At 55.6% G+C, this 22,382-nt stretch overlaps 2 protein-coding genes across 14 annotated transcripts in view, besides 5 other annotated features; one reads left to right on the top strand and one right to left on the bottom strand.

Annotated features, from left to right (window-relative positions):
- Positions 1–10,333, top strand: part of UVSSA (UV stimulated scaffold protein A) — a 53,979-nt gene extending 43,646 nt beyond the window's left edge. For 12 of the 13 annotated variants that reach the window (XR_007057949.1, XM_017008493.3, XM_017008494.3 and 9 more), the window contains one exon: positions 212–2,393. Coding sequence is in view for 11 of the 13 variants with exons in the window: in XM_017008493.3 (XP_016863982.1) it covers positions 212–305 (94 nt within the window). In the remaining 2 variants the exon portion in view is untranslated. Of the gene's footprint in view, positions 1–211; positions 8,339–8,830 lie in introns of those variants that run through there. The other variant, XR_007057948.1, reaches the window with a different exon arrangement.
- Positions 8,781–9,980: an enhancer, noted in NCBI's record as "P300/CBP strongly-dependent group 1 enhancer chr4:1388225-1389424 (GRCh37/hg19 assembly coordinates)". NCBI's record gives its function as "activates an origin of replication core promoter dependent on BRD2, BRD4, P300/CBP, MED14 and CDK7 cofactors, with strong dependence on P300/CBP, by STARR-seq in HCT116 cells {active_cell/tissue: HCT116}" and the evidence as "EXISTENCE:reporter gene assay evidence [ECO:0000049][PMID:35650434]".
- Positions 8,781–10,321: a biological region, named in NCBI's record as "P300/CBP strongly-dependent group 1 enhancer GRCh37_chr4:1388225-1389424".
- Positions 9,581–10,321: an enhancer, noted in NCBI's record as "H3K4me1 hESC enhancer chr4:1389025-1389765 (GRCh37/hg19 assembly coordinates)". NCBI's record gives its function as "activates a minimal SCP1, AML or CMV promoter by ChIP-STARR-seq in naive H9 embryonic stem cells {active_cell/tissue: H9 hESC(naive)}" and the evidence as "EXISTENCE:reporter gene assay evidence [ECO:0000049][PMID:30033119]".
- NKX1-1 (NK1 homeobox 1) lies at positions 17,276–20,786 on the bottom strand. Its single transcript, NM_001290079.1, has 2 exons — positions 20,324–20,786; positions 17,276–18,159 (listed from the first exon to the last, which is right to left on the bottom strand). The coding sequence occupies exons 1-2, from the start codon at positions 20,784–20,786 to the stop codon at positions 17,276–17,278; spliced, it is 1,347 nt and encodes a 448-aa protein (NP_001277008.1).
- Positions 17,565–17,859: a silencer, noted in NCBI's record as "tiled region #8056; HepG2 Repressive non-DNase unmatched - State 10:DNaseD". NCBI's record gives its function as "represses a minimal TATA promoter and a strong SV40 promoter by Sharpr-MPRA in HepG2 cells {active_cell/tissue: HepG2}" and the evidence as "EXISTENCE:reporter gene assay evidence [ECO:0000049][PMID:27701403]".
- Positions 20,147–20,737: an enhancer, noted in NCBI's record as "H3K4me1 hESC enhancer chr4:1399591-1400181 (GRCh37/hg19 assembly coordinates)". NCBI's record gives its function as "activates a minimal SCP1, AML or CMV promoter by ChIP-STARR-seq in naive H9 embryonic stem cells {active_cell/tissue: H9 hESC(naive)}" and the evidence as "EXISTENCE:reporter gene assay evidence [ECO:0000049][PMID:30033119]".

Raw genomic sequence — 22,382 nt, forward strand, 5'->3', positions numbered from 1 at the left:
GGGCGGCCCTTTCTAAGCCTGTCTGTCTCGGGCCAGGGCCAAGGGGCCCGTCGCCCATCTGTCTCTGAAGGTGGCACCCACAGGCAGTCTGTCAGTGTCCGAGGGCAGCAGTTGCCCCAGGACCAGTGCCTAACTTTGGTGATGCCGCCACTGGGAGCCCAGGCCCCTGGCGGAAGCCTCCCAGGTCACATCTTGCCTTGTTTCCCCACAGGGCAGCTGTGCGGAGGGTAGTGGCAGCCATGAACCGGATGGACCAGAAGAAGCACGAGAAGTTTTCAAACCAGTTTAACTACGCACTGAACTAGAGAGCGGGGCCCAGTGCACTGGCCATCAGCACTTTCTCCCTCTGCCAGTGTCTCAGGACAGCAGAGTGGGCGTGGGTCTGGGCAGTAACCATGCTTTGTCTATTACTGTGTTTGATGTAAAGAAATGGTGTGTTGCAATGCCCTGAAGGTACGGCCGCTCTGCTGCTACAGGGTTCGGCATCGTCTGGTGATGGGTCTGGCCTCGCAGAAGAGGCCCTCGGGCCTGGAGATGTGAACACAGGCAGCGACCCTGTTCCAGAGGGCTTCTGCGAGTCCTCGTGAGACCAGTGCTTGTCGTGGTGTGGGGTTCAGCACGGACGGAATGTGTGTGCAGCTCAGCCTTCAGAGCGTGCATTCCCCAGCCAGGAGGCGACCACTCAGAGGAACTCTGGGAAACCCACTTTTGTGCAAATGCTGTTTTTAACACAAACACAAAGGCTAGTGAACCGTTCAGTCATCTGCTTTCTGTTTCTGGATGTGCCTTTTCATACATGTGTCCTCTTGTCCCTGGCTTCTTACACTTGGCGTTGTTTTTAAGGTTTATCCATGCAGTTCCCCTCCAATGTATAAAACAAAGGAGGTGAAAACCTGTCCATGCGGAAGCTTGTGCACCCATGTTCACAGCAGCATTGGAGAAGGATACCGAACATCTTCTCGTGGGCTTACTGGCCATTTGTGTATCTCCTTTGGAGAGGAGTCTATTCAAACCTCTTGCCTATTTTTAATTGAATGATTTATCTTGAGTTGTAACAGTTGTTTTTTTTGTTTTTCCTTTTAGAGATGGGCTTTTGCTCTTACCCAGGCTGAGTGCAGTGGCAGAATCATAGCTCAGTGCAGCCTCAAACTCCTGGGCTCAAGCCATCCTTCCACGTCAGCCTCCCAGGTAGCTGGGACTACAGGCACACACCACAACACCTGGCTAATTTTTTAAATTTTTTGTAGAGATGAGGTCTCACTGTGTTGCCCACGGTGATCTCGAACTCCTAGCCTCAAGCGATCCTCCTGCTTCGGTCTCCCAAAGTGTTGGGATTACAGGCATGAGCCACCACTCCTGGCCAGGAGTTTATATGTATACTGTGGATACTAGATCCTCATGTGATTTGCAAAAACTTTATTTATTTATTTATTTATTTTTGAAATGGAATCTTGCTCTGTCGCCAGGCTGGAGTGCAATGGCGTGATCTCGGCTCACTGCAACTACCACCTCCTGGGTTCAAGCGATTCGCCTGCGTCAGCGTCCTGAGTAGCTGGGACTACAGGCGCGCACCACCACGCCCAGCTAATTTTTGTATTTTTAGTAGAGACGGGATTTCACTGTGTTGGCTGGGATGGTCTTGATCTCTTGACCTCGTGATCCACCCACCTCGGCCTCCCATAGTGCTGGGATTACAGGTGTGAGCCACCGCACTCAGCTGATTTGCAAAAACTTTCTTCCATACTGTTGTTTCACTTTCTGGATAGTGTCCTCTGAAGCACAAAAGTTAATTTTGATGAAGTACAGCAATTTATCTGTTTTTTTCTTTTGTTGCTTATGCTTTTGCTGTCACATTTCAGAAGCCATCACCTAATCCAAGATCACAGAGATTTACACCTAGTTTCTAATAAGCATTTTATAATTTCAGCTCTTATGTGTAGATCTTTGATCCATTGTGAATTAAGTTTTGTGTGTGGTGTAAGAGCCCACATTCTTTTGCATGTGGATATCCAGTTGTCCCAGCACCATTTGTTGAAAACATTATTTTTCCCCATTGAATTATCTTCGCACCATTATTGATAATCAGTTGACCAAAAATGTACAGGCTTATTTCTGGGCACTTGACTCTATTCCATTGACCTGTTTAACCTTATGCCAGTGCCACAGTGCCTTGATCAGTGCTGCTTTGTTGTGAGAAGTTTTACTTTGTTCTGCTTCAAGGCTGTTTTGACTCTTCTGCATCTCTTGCATTTCCAAATGAATTTTAGGATCCACTCATCAGTTTCTTCAAAAAAAAAAAAAAAGCAGCTGAGATTTTTGATAGGAATTACATTAAATCTAGAGATTGCTTTGGAATGTATTACCGTCTTAATATTAAATCTTCTGAGTCATGAGCTTCTGATTATCTTTCCATTTATTTGGGTCTTTTTAAATTTATTTCAACAGTATTTTGTAGTTTTCAGTATATAAGTTTCTCACTTATTTTGTTAAATTTACTCATATTTTATTATTTTTGATTTATAACCAAAAGGACTATAAATGCAATTATAAATTATTAAAAGATTATAAATTGCATTTACAAAAGCAATCACAAATGTAATTGTTTTCCAAATTTCACTTTGGGGCTGATCATTGCTAATATGTGGAAGTACAACTGACTTTTGTGTATTGATCTTGTATCCAGCATTCCTTGCTGAACTTGTTTATTCATTCTAATTAGTTGTATGTTCCCTAAGATTTTCCATACACAAAATCATGTCATCTGCAAACAGCTTTCTTTCTAATCTGGATTTCTTTTATTTCTCTTACCTAATTGCTCTGGCTAGTACCTCCAGGACAATGTTGAATAGATGTGGTGAGAACAGACATCCTCGTCTTACTCTTGATCTTAGCGGGAAGCTTTCGGTCTCTCACCATTGAATGTGATGCTAACAATGCAGTTTTGTGTAGATGCTTCTATCAGGTTGAAAAAGTTACCTTCTCCTCCTAGTTTGTTGAGTGTTTTTGTCATAAAGTATTGAATTTTGTCAGATGCTTTTTCTCCATCTGTCGAGATGATAGTATGATTCTTGTCCTTTATTATAGTGATACAGTATATTACATTGTTTCTCATATATTGAACCGACCTTGCATTCATGGGGCAAATTCTACTTGTTCATGGTGTATAATCCTTTTTCTATGCTGCTGGCTTTGGTTTGCTAGGATTTTGCATCTGTATTCATGAGGGATATTGGGCTGTAGTCTTTTTGTGATGTCTTTAGCTTTAGTCACGTCACTACTGACCTCATAGATTGAGGTGGGAAGTGTTCCCTCCCCTCCTATTTTTTGGAAGAGTTTGTGAAAGATTGTTGTTAATTATTTAAACATTTGGTGGAATTTACCAGTGAAGGCTGGGCTTTTCTTTGTGGGATTTTTTTCCCTAATTCAGTATCTTCATTTATTATAGATCTGTTTAGTTCCAGTAGTTTGCATCTTTCCAGGAGTTTGTCCCTTTCTAGGTTCTTTGTTGCAATCTGTTCATATATAATGGTTCATAGCATTAAAAAAAATTTTTTTAACTGACAAGGTCTCACTCTGTTGCCCAGGCTGGAGTGCAGTGGTGCAATCATAGCTCACTCCAACCTCAGACTCATGGGCCCAAGTGATCCTCCCACCTCAGCCTCCCCAGTAGGAAGGACCACAGGCATGCACCACCACATTCAGCTAATTTTCTGTCTTTGGTTTTGTTTTGTTTGAGACAGAGTCTTGCTCTGTCACCCAGGCTGGAGTACAGTAGCACAATCATGGCTCACTACAGCTTTGACCTCCCAGACTCAAGCAATCTTCCCATCTCAGCTTCCTGAGTAGCTAAGACTACAGGGGCATGGCAGTATGACTGGCTAATTTTTTAAAAGCTTATTTTTGGTAGAGATGGGGTCTCACTATGTTGGCTAGGCTGGTCTCAAACTCCTGGCCTCAAGAAATTTTCCTGTCTTAGCCTAGCAAAGTGCTGGGATTACAGGCATGAGCCACCACACCCAGCCCTAATTTTCTTTAAAATTTTTTTGTGGAGACAGGATCTTGCTGTGTTGTCCAGGCTGATCTTTGTCAAACTCCTGGCCTCAAGTGACCCTCCCACCTTGACCTCTCAAAGTGCTGGGATTGTGGATGTTAGCCAATGCTCCCAGCCTATTCATAGTATTTTCTGGTTTTAGTAATTTGATTCTTCTCTCTTTTACTCCCCTTAGTCTAGCTAAAGATTTATCAATTTTGTTGATCTATTTAAAGAAACAACTTCTGGTTTTGTTTATTATCCCCTATGATTTTCCATTCTTTATTTTGTTAATTTCCACTGTAATCTTTATTATTTCCTTTGGGTTGCTTTGGGTTTTATTTTCTCTTCTTTTTCTTGTTTCTTAAGATGGAAAATTAGCTTACTGATTTGAAATCTTTTTCATATAGACATTTGTAGCTATAAATTTTTATCTCAGCACTGATTTACTTCATCCCTTAAGTTCTGCTATATTGTGTTTTCCCTTTTTTAAATCTAAAAGTATATTCTGATTTTTCTGGTGATTTCTTCTTTTATCTCTTGGTTATTTAAGAGTTTGTTGTTTAATTTCCACATATATGTGAATTTCCCAGGTTTCCTTCTGTTATTGACTTCTTTTCTTATTTTTGAGAGACAAGATCTCACTTTATCTCCCAGGCTGGAGTGCAGTGCAGTGATCGCAGCTCACTGCAGCCTTGACCTCCCACCTCAGCCTCCTGAGTAGCTGAGACTACAGGCATGAGCCACCAAGCCTGGCTAAATTTTTAAAAATTTTGTTGTAGAGACAGGGTCCGACTATGTTGCCCAGGCTGTGTTGGAACTCCTGGGCTCAAGTGATCCTGCCACTTTTGCCTCCCAAAGTGCTGGGATTACAAGCATGAGCTACCATACCTGGCCTGTTACTGATTTCTTATTTCACTCCATTATGGCTAAAAAACATAGATTGTATGATTTCTCGTCTTTTATATGTATTGAGAGTTATTTTATTGGCATACCGTATTTTCTGTCCCAGAGTGTTGAAGAATATCTATCCTGCTCTTGTTGGGTGGAGTGTTGTATAGATGCCTGTTGGGTCTGATTGGTTTGTAGTGTTGTATAGACACCTGTTGGGTCAGAGGTTGGTTTGTAGTGTTGTATAGATGCCTGTTGGGTCTGATTGGTTTGTAGTGTTGTATAGATGCCTGTTGGGTCAGAGGTTGGTTTGTAGTGTTGTATAGATGCCTGTTGGGTCTGATTGGTTTGTAGTGTTGTATAGATGCCTGTTGGGTCTGATTGGTTTGTAGAGTTGTATAGATGTGTGTTGGGTCTCATTGGTTTGTAGTGTTGCATAGAAGCCTGTTGGGTCAGAGGTTGGTTTGTAGTGTTGTATAGATGCCTGCTGGGTCTGATTGGTTTGTAGGGTTGTATAGATGCATGTTGGGTCTGATTGGTTTGTAGTGTTATATGGATGCCTGTTGGGTCTGATTGGTTTCTAGTGTTGTATAGATGCCTGTTGGGTCAGAGGTTGGTTTGTAGTGTTGTATAGATGCCTGTTGGGTCAGAGGTTGGTGTGTGTGTTGTATAGATGCCTGTTGGGTCAGAGGTTGGTTTGTAGTGTTGTATAGAAGCCTGTTGGGTCTGATTGGTTTGTAGTGTTGTATAGAAGCCTGTTAGGTCTGATTGGTTTGTAGTCTGATTGTTTATGTCTTCTCTTCCCTTATTGATCTTCTGCCCAGTTATATTGATATTGAATGTGAGGTATTGAATCCTTCAGTTTTGTCAGCTTTTGTTTCATAAATTTTGAAGCTCTGTTAAGTGCATCTGTATTTCTATTTCTTTCTGATGAACAGACCCTTTTATCATTATGACATGTCCTTCTTTGTCTTTAGTGAAAAAAAAATGTCTTTAAGTCCCTTTTGTATGTTATTAGTATAGCCACTTAGCTCTTTTTTGATTATTGTTTGCATGGTATCTTTTTTCACCCTTTAACTTTCATTGTATCTCTGAATCTAAAGTGTGTTTCTTGTAAACAGCATATAGTGGGATCATGTTTCTTATCTGTCCTGCTGGTCTCTGCCGTGAATCTAAAGTGTGTTTCTTGTAAACAGCATATAGTAGGATAGTGTTTCTCATCTGTCTTTCTGGTCTCTGCTCTGAATCAAAAGTGTGTTTCTTGTAGACAGCACATAGTGGGATCATGTTTTTCATCTGTCCTGCTGGTCTCTGCTGTTTGAGAGGGATGTTTAATCCATTTACATTCAGTGTGATTACTGAGAAAGTTGGATTTGTATCTGCCATTTCTAAATTTGTTTACTATATTGTCTTTTTTGTCTTTCTTCCTTTATTTCTCCATTACTTTTTTGTGTTAAATGGACATTTAATTCTCTTGTAACATTGTAATTTCCTTGTCTGTTTTACTGGGTTTTTTTAAAAGTAACTTTCTTAGCAGCTGCTCTGAGTATTACAGTAACAACGTAAAACCAATCAAGTGTTCAGATGAACTTAATATAATGTACAAAAACCTTCACTTCAAGTAGCTTTGTTTCCTCTCAGCTTCTTGGTGCTGTATTTGTCATATAAATGCTACCTTTTAGATTGTAAGTCCGTCAGCAGTCTTGTAATTATTGCTTTATGCAGTTGTCTTTTAAATCACATAGAAGAAGAAAAGATGTACAAACAGAAATGAGTTTCTGCTGTCTCTGTTGCTGGCTTTGCAGTTGTCTTTTTTGGTGCTCTTTGTGTGGATTTGAGTGTGGTGTCTTGGACTTCAGCCTCAAGTATTTCTTGTAGGACAGATCTTCTAGCAATGAATTCTCTTTGTTTTTGTTTATCTGAGAATGTTGTAATTTTTCCTTCTCTTCTGAAGAATAATTGTGCTGGATATGGCTGACTTGGTTGGCCCTCTTTTTCTTTCAGTCCTCTATAGATGTCATTCCACTGCCTCTGGCATCTGTGGTTTCCATGGCGGGAGCACCGCACCATGTCTCAGTCTCTTTTTAGCTTCTGACTGTTTGACTGTGGTGTGTCTAATTGTGGATCTTTCAGTGTGTCCTACCTGCAGTTCTTTGAGCTTCTTGGATATAGAGGTTAATATTTCTTGTAGTCTGATTGTTTACATCTTCTCTTCACTTATTGATCTTCTGCCTAGTTATATTGATATTGAATGTGGGTATTGAATCCTTCGGTTTTGTCAGCTTCATGTTCAGCCAGTGACTGGACAGGGGACCCCTTTAAGTGCTTTGCACCAGTAACTCTCATGGTTCTGCTGACACACAGTTGATGTGTGGTGAGTATGCCTTCAGCGCTCCATTGTGGTTCTGCAAATTTGGGAAATTTTAGGTTGTCGTTTCTCGAAATATTTTATGTCCATGTTCTCTTCCCCCACTTGGACTCCAGCTACGTGTGTTGATGTGGAGCTGGGCACAGCCTTGGAGGCCTCCTTGACTTTCCTTTATTCCGGAATTTTTTCTTCTTCTCAGAATGGGTCATCTCAGTTGACCTATCTTCAAGGTCACAGATGCTTTTGCCAAACAAAACCTGATGTCAAGCTGCTCTAGTGAATTTTTCATTTCAGTTATTGTACTTTTCTACTCCAAACTTCCATTTGGCTCTCTCCTATAATTTCTGTATCTTTACTCATATTCTTTGTTTAGTGAAACATTCTCATACTTTAATTCTGTAGACACAGTTTCCTTTAGTTATTTGAACATATGTGTAGAAGCTGATTTAAAGTACTTGTCTAAGCCGGGCGTGGTGGTGTGCACCTGTAATCCCAGCTACTTGGGAGGCAGAGGCAGGAGAATTGCTTGAACCCGGGAGGCAGAGGTTGCAGTGAGCCAGGATCAAGCCATTGTACTCCAGCCTGGGCCACAGAGCGAGACGCTTTCAAAACTAGATAGATAGATAGATTAGATAGATAGATAGATAGATAGATAGATAGATAGATAGATAGGATAAGATAAGATAGATAGGTGACTTGTCTACTAAGTTCAACATCAGGGCTTATTCAGGGGAAGTTCCTATTGATGACCTTTTTTCCCATGTCAGAGCCAAGGAAATAACATACTCTTTCTTTGTGGTCTCATATATATGTATTTTTTGAAGACTGGACACTTTAATAATGTGCTGTGCAACTCTGGAAATCAGATACCCTCTCCACGAGTTTATTGTTGTTCTGTTGCTGTTACCTTTTGTTTAGTGTGTGTTCTGGACTAATTTGAAGTGTCCACCTCATCAGCTTCATGTTCAGCCAGTGACTGGACAGAGGACCCCTTTAAGTGCTTTGCACCAGTAACTCTCACGGTTCTGCCGACACGCAGTTGATGCATGGTGAGTGTGCCTTCAGCGCTCCATCGCGGTTCTGCTGACACGCAGTTGATATGTGGTCAGTGCTCCAGCAGGCAGCTGCCAACTGTGCCTTTGCCTTCACTTCTTACTTGCACACAGCCACAAAGCCAGCCAGAGGTGAGGGCCAGGGCAGCTCAGGTTCCTCTCGGGCACACACACAGCTCTGTGCCTGTGTGGGCACAGCCTTCCATGCCTCCAGGAGTGTGGCAGAGCTTCTCAGCGGCCACTGTGGGCATCTCGTTCCTCAGATCTTCCTTTCATGAGTTATGTAGTTGAATTATCAATCTTTCTTGGCTTCTAAGTTTTGTGTTCTACTTAGAATGCTCTTCCCCCTTAAAGATTATATTTGAAATGTTTTCCATGTTTTCTTCTAGTACTTTTATGGGTTTCATTTTCATATTGAAATCATTGATCTACTTCTAGTTTTTGATACAAAATGTGAGCCAGGAAACCCAGTTTTTAAATTTCAAATAGCTGTCCAGGTGTCCCTGCACCTCTTATGCATGAGCCCTCGCTTTGTGCCAATGTGGAGTGCCCGCCTGCTCACACGTGCCCATGTGGAGTGCCCGCCTGCTCATGTGCCCATGTGGAGTGCCCGCCTGCTCACACATGTCGATGCGGAGTGCCCGCCTGCTCACACATGCCCATGTGGAGTGCCCGCCTGCTCACACGTGCCCATGTGGAGTGCCCGCCTGCTCACACACGTGTCCATGTGGAGTGCCCACCTGCTCATGTGCCCATGTGGAGTGCCCACCTGCTCACATGTGCCGATGTGGAGTGCCACCTGCTCACACACGTGCCCATGTGGAGTGCCCGCCTGCTCACGTGCCCATGTGGAGTGCCCGCCTGCTCACACGTGCCGATGCGGAGTGCCCGCCTGCTCACACGTGCCCATGCGGAGTGCCCGCCTGCTCACACGTGCCCATGCGGAGTGCCCGCCTGCTCACACGTGCCCATGCGGAGTGCCCGCCTGCTCACACGTGCCGACGTGGAGTGCCCGCCTGCTCACACGTGCCCATGTGGAGTGCCCGCCTGCTCACACGTGCCAACGTGGAGTGCCCGCCTGATCACACGTGCCCATGTGGAGTGCTCGCCTGCTCACACGTGCCGATGTGGAGTGCCTGCCTGCTCACACGTGCCCATGTGGAGTGTTCGCCTGCTCACACGTGCCGATGCGGAGTGCCCGCCTGCTCACACGTGCCGATGCGGAGTGCCCGCCTGCTCACACGTGCCCATGTGGAGTGCCCGCCTGCTCACGTGCCGATGTGGAGTGCCCGCCTGCTCACACGTGCCCATGTGGAGTGCCCGCCTGCTCACGTGCCGATGTGGGGTGCCCGCCTGCTCACATGTGCCGATGTGGAGTGCCCGCCTGCTCACACGTGCCCATGTGGAGTGCCCGCCTGCTCACACGTGCCGACGTGGAGTGCCCGCCTGCTCACGTGCCCATATGGAGTGCCCGCCTGCTCACACGTGCCATTGTGGAGTGCCCGCCTGCTCACACACATGCCGATGTGGAGTGCCCGCCTGCTCACACGTGCCCATGTGGAGTGCCCGCCTGCTCACACGTGCCCATGTGGAGTGCCCGCCTGCTCACACACGTGCCCATGTGGAGTGCCCGCCTGCTCACACGTGCCCATGTGGAGTGCCTGCCTGCTCACACACGTGCCCATGTGGAGTGCCCGCCTGCTCACACAAAGCCCTGGCATGGTGGTTCTGTAGGTTTCCTGTCCTGCCGGCCGAGTCAGACGCTGTTACCGTACATTCTACTCATGGTGGCTTTTTAATACGTTTTTATGTCAAGGATCCCTTTTATATTTCTCTGCACCTCGAGATAACGTAGGAATATTAGGGATGAGATGGAAGAGGAGAGGGTGTTTTTGTAAAATTGAATTCAGGACTGATTTGTTAGCCTGGTGCTTTTCGTATCAGACCTTTTAATGAATTTTCATGGATGCTGATTAAAAGACAAACCTGTGACTCAGTGTTTGTGACCAAGTGAGGGGCCCTGTGGGGTGGGGGTGCTGGGCCGGCCCTTCTGGCTGGTGGGGTGAGGGGTGGGGCCTGTGCACCTGGGAGCAGCTCCAGCACTGCGGGCTCAGGGCACTGTCAGTGACTTGGCACTAAGGGGGTGCTGGGGGTGGGCCCTCCTCAGATCCCCTCAGCAAACCCCTTCCACCCACACTTGCCACAAAGTGGTTTGGGTCCCCATGAGCCAGGCAGATGGCGGGGGGAGGAGCCTGGGGGGGTCTGGCCTGCAGATGCACGTAGGGGCTACTGGTACGGCTCACAGTGGGAGGGGGCCCGTGCCAGCTGGTCCAGCATGCTGCTGCCCTCATCCAGGGCAGACTGGCTGAGGTTGGCCCGGAGAGCAGCAGGGGGTGAGTGCGAGGAGTGACCAAGGGAGGACTGGTGGGCATGGGTCACAGCCCCAGCGCTGGGGTGGATGGGCCACCATGGAAAGTGGTGTCAGGGTTAGCAACACAGAACCAGAAACTCCAAATAAGAGTGGCTCGTAGACAGAAGGGTTTGTGTCCTATTGAATCAGGGTCCAAGGGTAGGCGCCCCCAAGCACCTTCCAGTTCCTGGCTCAGTATCAGAGCACGTGGCCTCCAACCCCAAGGCTACCTCATGGCCCAAGGTGGCTGCTGGGGCTCCAGCCATCACCAGGTCTGCAGAAGGAAGGAGGAGGGCTTTGCCTCCCCTCTGAGCTGATTCCCATAAGGAGCCTTCTCAGTCCCCTACCCCCACACACACTGTTCATGTCGACTTGGCCAGAACCTAGTCACAGGCAGCACCCAGCTGCCTGCTGCCCCAGAGGCAGGACATGTGGAGCTCAGCTCATCTGAGATGAGCGCTCAGCCACAGCCTCCCAGGGAAAGAGAGAAGGCGTCTGCACCAGCAGAGCTGTCTCCAAAGGGGACCACACTGCAGGGCAGTCGGGAGGAGGTGGGACATGGACATCCCCAGGTTGTCACCCATGAGCAAGGTCCCCCCCCAGTGGATGAGATGCCCCCACCCCACGGGCCTCTGTGGATGAAAAGGTGACCTTGGGATGGGGGAGGGGCAACAGTGCCAGAGGCAGGTGGGGGCCACAGTGGTCGTGAGGGCAGGGATGGGGCTCAGCCCTGCCTCCTCCCTCAGGTGCAGTCCTGCAGCCCTGCCTGGCTGCCCACCCCTGCCCCTTCCTCCCTGTGCTCACCTCCCTCTGCTGCTGAGCTATTCGTCCAGCCTCACCTCCCCGCCTCCCAGCTGACGCTGTGCACAGCTGGCCAGAAGAGACCAGGAGTGAGGGGGCACTCAGTCACCAGGGAAGAGATGGGGGACCCAGGTGGCCATCACAAGCAGGACACTGGGTGTGGGGAGGCCTGAGCACCGCAGGGAGGTCCTAGGGATGGGGGGACAACGTGGCGGTGGCCAGGGGGGATGTTGGATGCAGGGTGTTTTCGGGCATCTGGATGTGGGTAGATCAGGTTGGATGCAGGGTGTTTTCGGGCATCTGGATGTGGGTAGATCAGGTTGGATGCCGGGTGTTTTCGGGCATCTGGATGTGGGTAGATCAGGTTGGATGCCGGGTGTTTTCGGGCATCTGGATGTGGGTAGATCAGGTTGGATGCCGGGTGCTTTCGGGCATCTGGATGTGGGTAGATCAGGTTGGATGCCGGGTGTTTTCGGGCATCTGGATGTGGGTAGATCAGGTTGGATGCCGGGTGTTTTCGGGCATCTGGATGTGGGTAGATCAGGTTGGATGCAGGGTGTTTTCGGGCATCTGGATGTGGGTAGATCAGGTTGGATGCAGGGTGTTTTCGGGCATCTGGATGTGGGTAGATCAGGTTGGATGCCGGGTGTTTTCGGGCATCTGGATGTGGGTAGATCAGGTTGGATGCAGGGTGTTTTCGGGCATCTGGATGTGGGTAGATCAGGTTGGATGCCGGGTGTTTTCGGGCATCTGGATGTGAGTAGATCAGGTTGGATACAGGGTGTTTTCGGGCATCTGGATGTGGGTAGATCAGGTTGGATGCAGGGTGTTTTCGGGCATCTGGATGTGGGTAGATCAGGTTGGATGCAGGGTGTTTTCGGGCATCTGGATGTGGGTAGATCAGGTTGGATGCCGGGTGTTTTCGGGCATCTGGATGTGGGTAGATCAGGTTGGATGCCGGGTGTTTTCGGGCATCTGGATGTGGGTAGATCAGGTTGGATGCCGGGTGTTTTCGGGCATCTGGATGTGGGTAGATCAGGTTGGATGCAGGGTGTTTTCGGGCATCTGGATGTGAGTAGATCAGGTTGGATGCCGGGTGTTTTCGGGCATCTGGATGTGGGTAGATCAGGTTGGATGCAGGGTGTTTTCGGGCATCTGGATGTGAGTAGATCAGGTTGGATGCCGGGTGTTTTCGGGCATCTGGATGTGGGTAGATCAGGTTGGATGCCGGGTGTTTTCGGGCATCTGGATGTGGGTAGATCAGGTTGGATGCCGGGTGTTTTCGGGCATCTGGATGTGGGTAGATCAGGTTGGATGCAGGGTGTTTTCGGGCATCTGGATGTGAGTAGATCAGGTTGGATGCCGGGTGTTTTCGGGCATCTGGATGTGGGTAGATCAGGTTGGATGCAGGGTGTTTTCGGGCATCTGGATATGGGTAGATTGGGTTGGATGTGGGGAGGGTGCTTGGTGCCTGGGGTTTGCTCTGAGGCTGTGGGGCTGGCTTGGTCTGGGAGGAGCTTGGTCTGGCTTTGTGGTGCCTGGAGGGCCCCTGGCCCCCGGGGGGACATCGCAGGGCAAGGACAGGGCGAGGCACACCATTACCAGGACACTGCGGGGCAAGGACAGGGAGAAGCACACCATTGCCAGGACATCGCGGGGCAAGGACAGGGCCAGGCACACCATTGCCATGGCAGGAAGGCAAGTGGAGGATGAGGGTTCCCCAAGCCCAGGCTGCCCAGGACTCGGAGCAGGAGGAACCAGCCACCAAGTGAGCAGGGGGCTGAGGAGGCCACGCCAGGATGGGGCAGCCAAGGGCCCGAGTGACGGCGAGAGCCTCCTTAGGGGTGGAGAAGTGAGGAGGAAGTGTAGACAGCAGGTGTAGACGGCTCTTTCGATACTTTGGCTGGAGGCTGGGAGGAAAGGGGGAGAGCTGGAGGCCACACGGGGTCCAGGGAGGGTTATGCCTAAGCCTGGAGACACTGGACGCATCTGAAGCCCAGCAGGGGCTGTCTCCCCTGGCAGGACGCAGGCAGGTGACAAGATCCTATGGCTGGAAGATGGGCTTGGACCTGTGGCCAACCCAGGGTGGGGTTATGGAGAGGGTACACCAGACACCTTAGGGTGTAGGAGCTGGGTGCCCACCAAGGTCGAGGCCCTGGGCTTCGGAAAAGACCAGGCGGGCTGAGGGCGACTTTCTTCAGAAGCCCAGCTGCCTGGGGCTGGGGGTGTGGGCAGGTGGGCATGGGTGGGGAGCACAGGGGGGCTCGGCAGGGGCAGCCGGTGGCCCCAATCCATCCTCACCTTTCACTAGGAGTGAGATGCCTGGGGGGAGACTGCACTTCCCAGCCTCCCTTGGCTAAGAGAGGGCCCGTGACCCAGCTCTGGCCAATGGGACATAAGCAGCTGTGTTGTGTGGGCTTCCGGGAAAGCTCCTTAAAAGAGAGGGGTGTTGCTGGCCACTCCCTTTCTTCCTGTTTGCAGCCGGGGGTGAGGATGTGGTGGCTGGAGCCTCAGTTTCCATTGGGTTCTGTGAGGCTGAGGCCCGTCCAGGCCTGATGCAGCACAGAGAGCCAGGAGCTGGGTCTCCAAGGACTCAGTGAAGGTCTCAAAACTGCCCAGGGCTGCCACGGCCAGAATTCCCTCACAAAGAGAAAGTAAACAGTCTCCTTTCAACTCTCTTCATTCAGGTTTTCTCTTACACGCAGCCAAACCCAGGCCTGACCCACACAGCAATGGACCACAGCACCATCGGCTGGTGGGGGTGGGGAGGTGGCCTCAATGGGAGGCCCCTTACCGTCTGGGCTCAGCGGTCCCTGGGCAGGAGACGGGAGCCCAGGGCGTGAGAGCAAACGCCGCCCTTGTCTGGGCTCATGCTCGCTTGACAAGAGGCCCCTTCTGTGCCTGGCTTTGCAGCAACGACATGTGTGTGGTTCTGGGAACTTGGGGCAGGTGTGGTCCAGGGCAAGATGGGTCCTGAGCCCTAGGAGGAGGGTCCATGGAAGAGTGCCCTCAGATCCTGAGGTTGAGACCTTCCCTCACGGCCCTGACACCAAAGTGGGGGACACGTTGAGACCCCTAACAAGGCTCCCGCTCACCTCTGCCTGCAGCACAGGCCCAGGGAGCTGAAACTGAGTCAGGCACAGGCAGCCTAGACTGGAAATGGCGGGCAGGGGAGGCCCAAACCTGGTGGAAATGGGGGTGGTGGGGCAGCCCGAGGGCTCCCTGGGAGGCAGGCAAGGGAATGGCTCCCCAACTCTCCCAGGGAGACTGGGGGCCTGGGGACCCAGTAGGAGTGTGGGCTAAAAAGTGGAGGCTCCTTCAGGAGGGAGCAGGGCACCCACTGGCACCAGAGCTGGCACTGCCCCCAGCAAGCCCCATGACTGCCGGGCCTCAGTTTCCCACATGTGACTCTCAGCAAAGCACAGTGGGAGGCTCAGGTGGCTTTGCACGCAGTCCGACTCCGACGAGGGTCCGCTGCAGAGTGACTGTGAATCAGAGACTGGAGGAAATGCCCCCCATGCCTGCAGCATGAGGCTGTGGGCTGTCCAGGGAGCTTAGAGAAGGGGTGGTGCAAGGAGGGGGGTATTGCTTCCCAGACCTCACAGCCCCCGGCCCATACCCTCCATCCCATCCTGCAGCCCAGGGGCACTGCTAGAGGGCCCTCCGGTGTGGCTCTGTGTTTCTGGCTGAGGCTTGAGGGGAGGAGACAGAGGAGGCCAGGGTGGGGGCATGTGGAAGCTGGAGGGACGGGGAGCCAGGATCTAAGCTCCATGGGAGGGCTGCACACAGCGGTCTGGCCCGGCTCTGAGTGGGTCTGAATCTGGCCTGCACCGTCGCAGCCACCTTCTATCATCTCCCTGTGGGGCTGTGAGCTCCTGGAATGTTCCAGCAAGCTCAGCAAAGGGGAAGGCCCTTGCAGCACAGACCTGGGTTCCTCCTGGCCACGCAGCAGCTGCTTTCCCACTCAGCAGCCCCAGTGCCCAGCTTAGGCCAAGCCCGCTGCACTGGCTTCAGCTGTGAGTCGACCCTCTGGCTACACTTGGCCACCTGCAGGTGGCTCGCCTTCCCTCATGGACCCCCACCGAGCAAGTCTGAGCTCTGCCAGCGGAGGGAGGAGGGAGGAGGGAGGAGGGAGGAGGGAGAGGCTGCCCTGCCCCCGGGCTGGTGAGCCTCAGGACGCTTGCTGCAGGCAGGTGACTTCACCTATGCGGACCCAGAAAGGGAGCAGAGAGCAACTGGGAGTCAGGCCGGCCCTTGGCTGGAGGAACCAAGGCCTGCCTGGGGCTTGGGGTGTGGGGGCAGCAAACACACAGGGTGATCCCAGCCGCCCCTGCGCCCCGCCCCCTCAACCTGCCCGATGGCCGGTGCTGCTCTGGGCCTGCTCTCTGTCCACAGGTGCTGGCCAGGCCAGTGGGCAGCAGTGTCTCCCATCTTGCCTGTGGCACTGGGTATTCACTGCCGCCACCTGCCCCCAGCCCTCCCCCAGTGGTTGCTGTCAGGTTGACAGCCCAGAGATGAGCTCAGCCCACTCACGGAAAATGGACAGGACACCAGGAGACTGGGCCCAGTCAGGGCACAGCCGCCAGGCAGAGCCAAGCTCCCTCTGTGAGGCAGGACTCAGGACTCCCGCCAGTGGCAGAAGAGGGGCAGCACCTGCCCGGCTGTGGCCAGTGTCTCATGCCGCCTCCCCACCCTTTCTGGGGCTCTGAACCCTCCTCCCGTCGCCCTTCCCCGCTTCCAAGCACCAGCTTTTGCATCCACACTGCCGCCCAGCCCAAGCGCCTCTGCCTCTCACCTCCCTGAGCCCAGCTCAGGCGAACACCAAACCCACAGGACTCCGAGAGCCTGTGAGGGGATGTAGGGACTGTTTCCAGCGTCGTTGGAGGAGAGGTGGCAGCTCCAAGAGGGAGCACTCGACCCGACTTTTGGGGGCCTGGGTCTGAATGGGCTGGGACGCTCTTGGGCAGGTAGCTGAGCCCAGGCAGCCCCTTCTCCCCGGGGAAAACAGGCAGGCGCTTCTTCCTCCAGGCAGTAGCCGAAGCTGACACCGCCCCCAAGCTGACACGCCTAGCCCGGTGCTCCCTTGCGGGGCTGTGGGGCAGGGGAGTGGGACCGGAGCAGGCTGCAGGGGTGGGGAGCAGGAGGCGGAAAATGCCGCGGCCCCACCAGCTCCATGGCTAAGAGGAGAGGCGAAGAGGAAGCAGCTGGTCACTTTCCGAGACCTGTGATCTTTTTTGGGACGGGGAGGGGGCGGTCAGGGAGGTGACGCTGGGACCTGAGCCTCAGCCAGCTTGGCGGGTGAGCCCCTGCGCTCAGCCCCTGCGCCCACGACGACGGGCAGGCACCAGCAGAGTGGCCTGAATTCCGGCCGGGGGACGCCAGGCCGGTGGGAAAACGGGCTGGAGTCCCGCTCAAGGCCAACACCCGAGGAGCCTTGGTCCCCACCGGAGAGGATTCACGGGTGGGCCCGGCCGGGCGGAGGGCGGCGCGGGAGCCTGGGAGAAGGGGGCGCGGCCGCCTGCGGTTTATTGATTGAGTGAAGTTCCGCAAAGTGCTTCGCAGCGGGCCGAGCCCGCGGGAGCCACCTGCCCGGCCCCGACGCGCATGGTCATTTATAAATTTAAAACTCTTCCGTAGCAACCGGTTATGTACAGAGTCAACGACTGGAATCGTAGAAAACAGCCGGGCCCGGCAGCGGCCTCGGAGGCGGAGCGGCACGGGGCTCAGAGGTGCGGCGCGTAGAAGGCGGGCGCCCCGTAGGTCTGCGAGCCCAGCACGAAGGGCGAGAGCACCGCCGGGCTCGACAGGAACGGCAGCTGCGCGGCGCACACCAGGCCTCCGGGGCCGTGCGCCGGGTACCCGGCCGGGCCGTGCATGCCGAGCGGGGCGCCCATGGGCGGCGAGGGGCTGAGCGGGCTGAGGCCGCCGGGCAGCCCCGTGCCAGGCCCGGCCCCCGGTCCCGGTCCGCCCCCGCCGCCGGTCGGAGCGCTGGTGTCGGCGCCCGGGTTCTGCTTCTTCCACTTGGTTCGGCGGTTCTGGAACCAGATCTTCACCTGCGTCTCGGTGAGGCTGAGCGACAGCGCCAGGTTGAGGCGCTCGCACACCGACAGGTAGCGCGTGGCCTTGAACTTGTTCTCCAGCGCCACGAGCTGCTCGTAGGTGAAGGCGGTGCGCGCTCGCCGCGGCTTCCCGGACTTGGAGTCGGACCCCGTGCGCTTCCGCTTGGGCTTCGCCGCCGTCGCCGTGCCCTGCGGGGTGGTCCCCGCGCCCCCCGGCGCCGCTGCACCTCCCGGTGGGCCCTGGGCAACGGGCGAGTTCTCGCGGGGTCCGGGGGCCGCTGCCTCGTCGACGGTGGCTCCGGGGGACGCGTCGGTCTCAGCCGCGCCCTGGCAACCCGACCCGCGGGCCCCGAGGCCGCCGCCGCCTCCCCGCGCCTCCTCCGCGCCTCGCGCCGCCTCCGTCTCGGGCGCTTCGTCCTCGTCGTCGTCCTCGTCGTCGGGAACCTCGTCCCCGCTGTCCGCGCTCGGGCTGTGGCCGCCGCCGCCGCTGCTGTAGCCGTTGGTGTCGTTGGTCTCGGCCTCCCCTGCCTTGAAGGGGTCGCCGGCGTCTGCGGGAGGGAGGGACAAGGACAGGGCAGGGCAGTTAGGACCGGCCGGTTCCCAGATCCCGCCCTCCGCGCGCCCCGCTTCCTCCCCCAGGGTTCCCTCCCGCCCCCTGCTCAGCGCCTCCTGCTTCGTCACCCGCCTCCTCTCTCTCTCCTTCGCTCTGTCGTTTCCCTCCCCTCGGCCTGTCCTTCCCTCCCGCCGCCCGCGTCTCCTCTCGGTCCCTTGCTTGTTTCTTTCTATGGAGAGGGTCCCCCTCGCCCCGCGCTGCCCGTTCTCGCGGCGCCGGGCGTTTTTGCCTGAGCGGGGCTGGACGGGTGCTGCGGGCCGGGCCCGGCTGCGGAGATCACAGCGGAGTGGAAGCTCTGATCGATCCGCAGGGCTGATACACACTTAATTAAACTCATTTTGTGTAGTGTACAAACTAGTTAAGGCCATTTAATTTATTTCGGCGTATATTACCCCCCAATTACCGCCGGCGCAGGGCCAGCCAATTGCCGGGCATTTAATAACAGGCCCGGCGGTGGGGCCGGAGCCGGCCGAGAGAATGGGGCTTGGGGGACCCAAATCCTATGCCCTGGCCCCGACCCTACCTCAAGCCTCCAGGCCCTGAGCTTCGGTCGCGAGGGTCAGCCCCGGCTCCCCTGCCCGCGCCTCGGCCCCTGCGCAGAGTTGCCGCGGGTAGGGCCCTGCTCGGCCTCACCAGGAGGGCTGGGCGGGCGTGCAGGTCGGAGTGGCTCCCCGCGGCCTAAAGGCCCGGTCGGCCGAGTCTGAACAGCAGCTCCGCATCCTCCAAGCAGAGGCCCTGAAGTGACTGCATTTTGAGTCTCTGAAATTTGGAAGAAAGCATCTCTCCCAGGCAGGGTCGCCTATGCCCCGGCACTGGGGGCCTAAGTCAGGAGGAGTCGGGGCAGGTGCCCTCCACAGAGCTGCCCAGCGGCAGCCGCGGCCTGCTCTCCGGCCAGGTCGGAACCGAAATCTCCGGTAAGAAATGACCAATCGCTCCTGTCAGATTCCTCCAGGGCGACTGGCCACCTGGCATGGAGGCCAGCAGGTGGTCTGGGTCCCCGCGACCCTCAGCAGGAGTAGGATCCGCCCCTAGACGACCGCGAGCGCCGTCCCAGCCCTGCCCCGGGTGCCTGGCCCAGATGACTCCCCGGCTGTAGTATGCGCGCGCCTTCCCGGCTTCAGCGGGATCCCGGCCTTCCGCCCCATAGACTCCCCGCAGGTGGAGGCTCTGAGCGCAGCCGCCGCAGAGTCCGTAGGGTCCCCTCCACTCAGCCGGATTTGTTCGCCCTCCATCTCGGCCGACCCGGAAGAGGCCCCGCGCAGGTGCGGCCCGCAGCCTCCAGGCGCAGAGCCGGTGGCCGCGGCCCAGCCCGGTCCGCCCCGCGCTGTCCTCCCTGTGCTTCAGTAGGGCCGGAAAGTTGGAGGGAGGAGGAGGGGACACAAAAAGCAATCAGGAGCAGGTCGAATGCAATTCGCGATCAATAGCGGCCCCTAATAAGTGTAATAGGTTTTAATCGAGTAATTATCCGAATTTTGACCCTATAATTTAGATGTTCGGGGGGAGTTTGCAAGGTGCTTGAAAGAGATATGCACGCGCCGTAATGGGATATCGACCCGACCGGGGGCGCGGGCCGCCCCATTACCGGCCGCTTTCCGCCGCTAAGCACATTTCCCCTTAACTGTAATCGAAGGGATTTAATTGTTTTTCCAGCGATAACCAGCGTTTTGTCACAATTAGTCTGATTTGTCCAAAAAAAAAGAGAGAGAGGGAGAAAGGAGGGAGGGAGGGAGGCCTCGGGCGGGCACAGTGGGGGCGGGGAGGTCACGGGCCAGCCACCGCGAGCGGCCCCTCGCCTCCTGCACCAACTACCCTTCTAGGCCGGAGACGCGCGGAGGCGAACCCTGGACCGGCCTCACAGCCCTGCAGCCCCTGGGCCTGACCCGGCTAAGCTTCTCCAGAGGAGCCTGGCGATGCAGGCCCTGCAGTCCGGGTCGGATGGAGGCCACGGGTGGGCTGGTGCGGACCCGGCGCTCAGCGAACTTTCCACGGAGCCTCGGCGTGGGCCAGACCCAACTCGCCACGGTGTCCCAGGGTCGTAAACGCATAGAAGCCTCCGGTCCCCCGTCCCTGCGACCTGGTGCCGGGCGCATCCTACTCACTCGGCGGCTCAGCTCCGGCGGCTCCGACTCCCCCGGCGCCGGCGAGGGCGCGGCGCTCCAGCTCCTCCGCGCGTGGCGGGCGTCCCGAGGCGGCGGGTGCAGGGGCGCATGGGGCCGAAGCGCAAGGGGCGCACGCAGCGGGAGCCACTGGGCCCAGCAGCACGCAACGACGCCTCCTGCTGTTGAACTTGTTGGGGTCCAGGATGTCCAGTACCGAGAAGGAGGTGGGGCGCAGGGGCGCTGCGGGCCGGGCCGCTCCAGCCCCCTCGGGCGCCGCAGGCACAGTGTCGCTGGCCGCGAGCGGCGGGGCTCCAGCGCGGGGAAAGGCCGGCAGCTCGGCGCGCCCGTCCATAGCTTCCTGGGCAGCGGCGGCGGGAGCGGGCGGTGCGGGCCCCGAACCTGGCTGGGGAGGCGGCGGTAGCGCGGGAATGTCCCCAGGAGCCTCGGGGCCGCTAGCGCTCATGCCGGCCTCCCGCCGCTCCGGCGGCTCGGGCCCCGCCACCTACTGGGCTCCCATCCCTGGCGGCCCCCGCACCTCCACACGACCCCGCGCAGGCGGCCGCTGCTCCGCTCGCTCTCGGCGCCGCGCCCTGCGCTTGGCCGGTGCTGCCTTCGCCGCCGCCTTAGGCGCCCGCGGCGCCCGGTCCGCGCATTTATGGCAGCCCCGCCGGAGGCGCCCACGCGCCCACACGCCGAACACACGTGCGCCCGCAGGCGGCCGCGGGGCTCCGCCGCCCTCGTTAGCGCGCGCGCCTAATTGGCTGCGAACGGTCCCGGGCCGAGGAGGCGGACCCCGCACAGGACACACGGACGGAGCCGCCGGGCGGGACGAACAGACACGCAGCCCGGAGCCCAGAGCGGTCCGCAGGCGGCTGTGGTGGTCAGCGGCGCGTCGCTGCGCCTCCGCTCGTCCGGAAACGGCGCGCCAGCCTCCTTGGCTAAGGGGGAGGAGACAGCCCCGGCTTTTAAATAATTGCGGGATCAATCTGCGGCGGGGCCGCAGCGACCCCAGGGCGCGCGGGCCAGCGAGCGCCAAGAGTTGGCTGGGACATCCCGGCGCAGGATGCGGTGACTGGCCTGGCCTCTCCTCCGGGCCCCCAGCGCGCAGGGCCCTGAGCTCCGAAGGCTCCCACAGCTCTGGCGCCCCTCGGCAGTTGGGGTGGGGATGGGGGGAGAGGTTCTCACGCGCGATTCTCCGAGTCTCCGCCGGGTCTGCAGCCCCCTCCCGCGCGTTCCGTGGGTCTCGGTCCCGCCTCTCTCACTTGCTCCCGCTTGGGGTCTCCTTTTGCGTCTCCAGGGTCTCTCTTGCTCAGGGTCTGTGCCCCTCCATCCCTTCCCACGCCCGCCCCTTTCACGTCGTCAAATTAGGGCCCGACCTGGAGTGCCAGCAGAGGGGCGGAGCCGGCGGTCCCCGGGCCGCTCATTAGAAGTGGAATCGAAAATGAGAGACTGCTTGTCCCTCTTAACCCGCCCCCAAAAGGGGGACCGACAAATTGCACACACAGCAGGCGGCCTACATAAAATCGATCCTCTTCAAGTAAGGAGAAAATGTGTGTTTCTTCCAAAAAGAATACGACAAATGCCCCCTTCTCCACATCTGGATAAATAGGAAGCCCCGCGGCCTGAGTCTTTATTTGGGTACGTTTTATCTACAGCGGCGGTGTTTGCAGGACAGGGCCCTGCGGCCCGCGGCCCTCGGCCCTCGAGGATTGGGCCTGGCGTCCGGAGTCCCAGTGCGGGATCGTGGTAGCTCCCCGGCGGGTCGCTCCTCTCCCTCCTCCTCCTGCCCACGCAGCGAGCAGCCAGACGCAGGTGGACCCTGGTGGGCGCCGGCAGTGCGAGCGCGCGCGCTTCTTCAGGGTGTGAGCGCGCGGGCGCGTGCACCGGCGGGTGTGCGCGCCGCCTTACACTGCGGTCCCCGGAGCCTGTTCCGCGCGCAGGGCGGTCCTTTGCAATTACCGCGGGCAATGATCCTTTGGAAGCAGAAATTAAAAGTTGGGAGAAATAATGGTGGACCGATCGGCTGTAATTTGGGCCAAGCTCGGACACGCTGAGCCCC

The sequence above is a fragment of the Homo sapiens genome, chromosome 4 (genome assembly GCF_000001405.40).
Source record: "Homo sapiens chromosome 4, GRCh38.p14 Primary Assembly".
NCBI classification, from domain to species: Eukaryota; Metazoa; Chordata; class Mammalia; order Primates; family Hominidae; genus Homo; species Homo sapiens.

Excerpts from the sequence above, each read along its gene's own strand:
- NKX1-1 (NM_001290079.1), bottom strand. The coding sequence starts at position 20,786 with ATGAGCGCTAGCGGCCCCGAGGCTCCTGGGGACATTCCCGCGCTACCG. Across the intron at positions 18,160-20,323 it reads CGCCGGAGCTGAGCCGCCGA|ACGCCGGCGACCCCTTCAAG; the intron begins GTGAGTAGGATG and ends TCCCTCCCGCAG.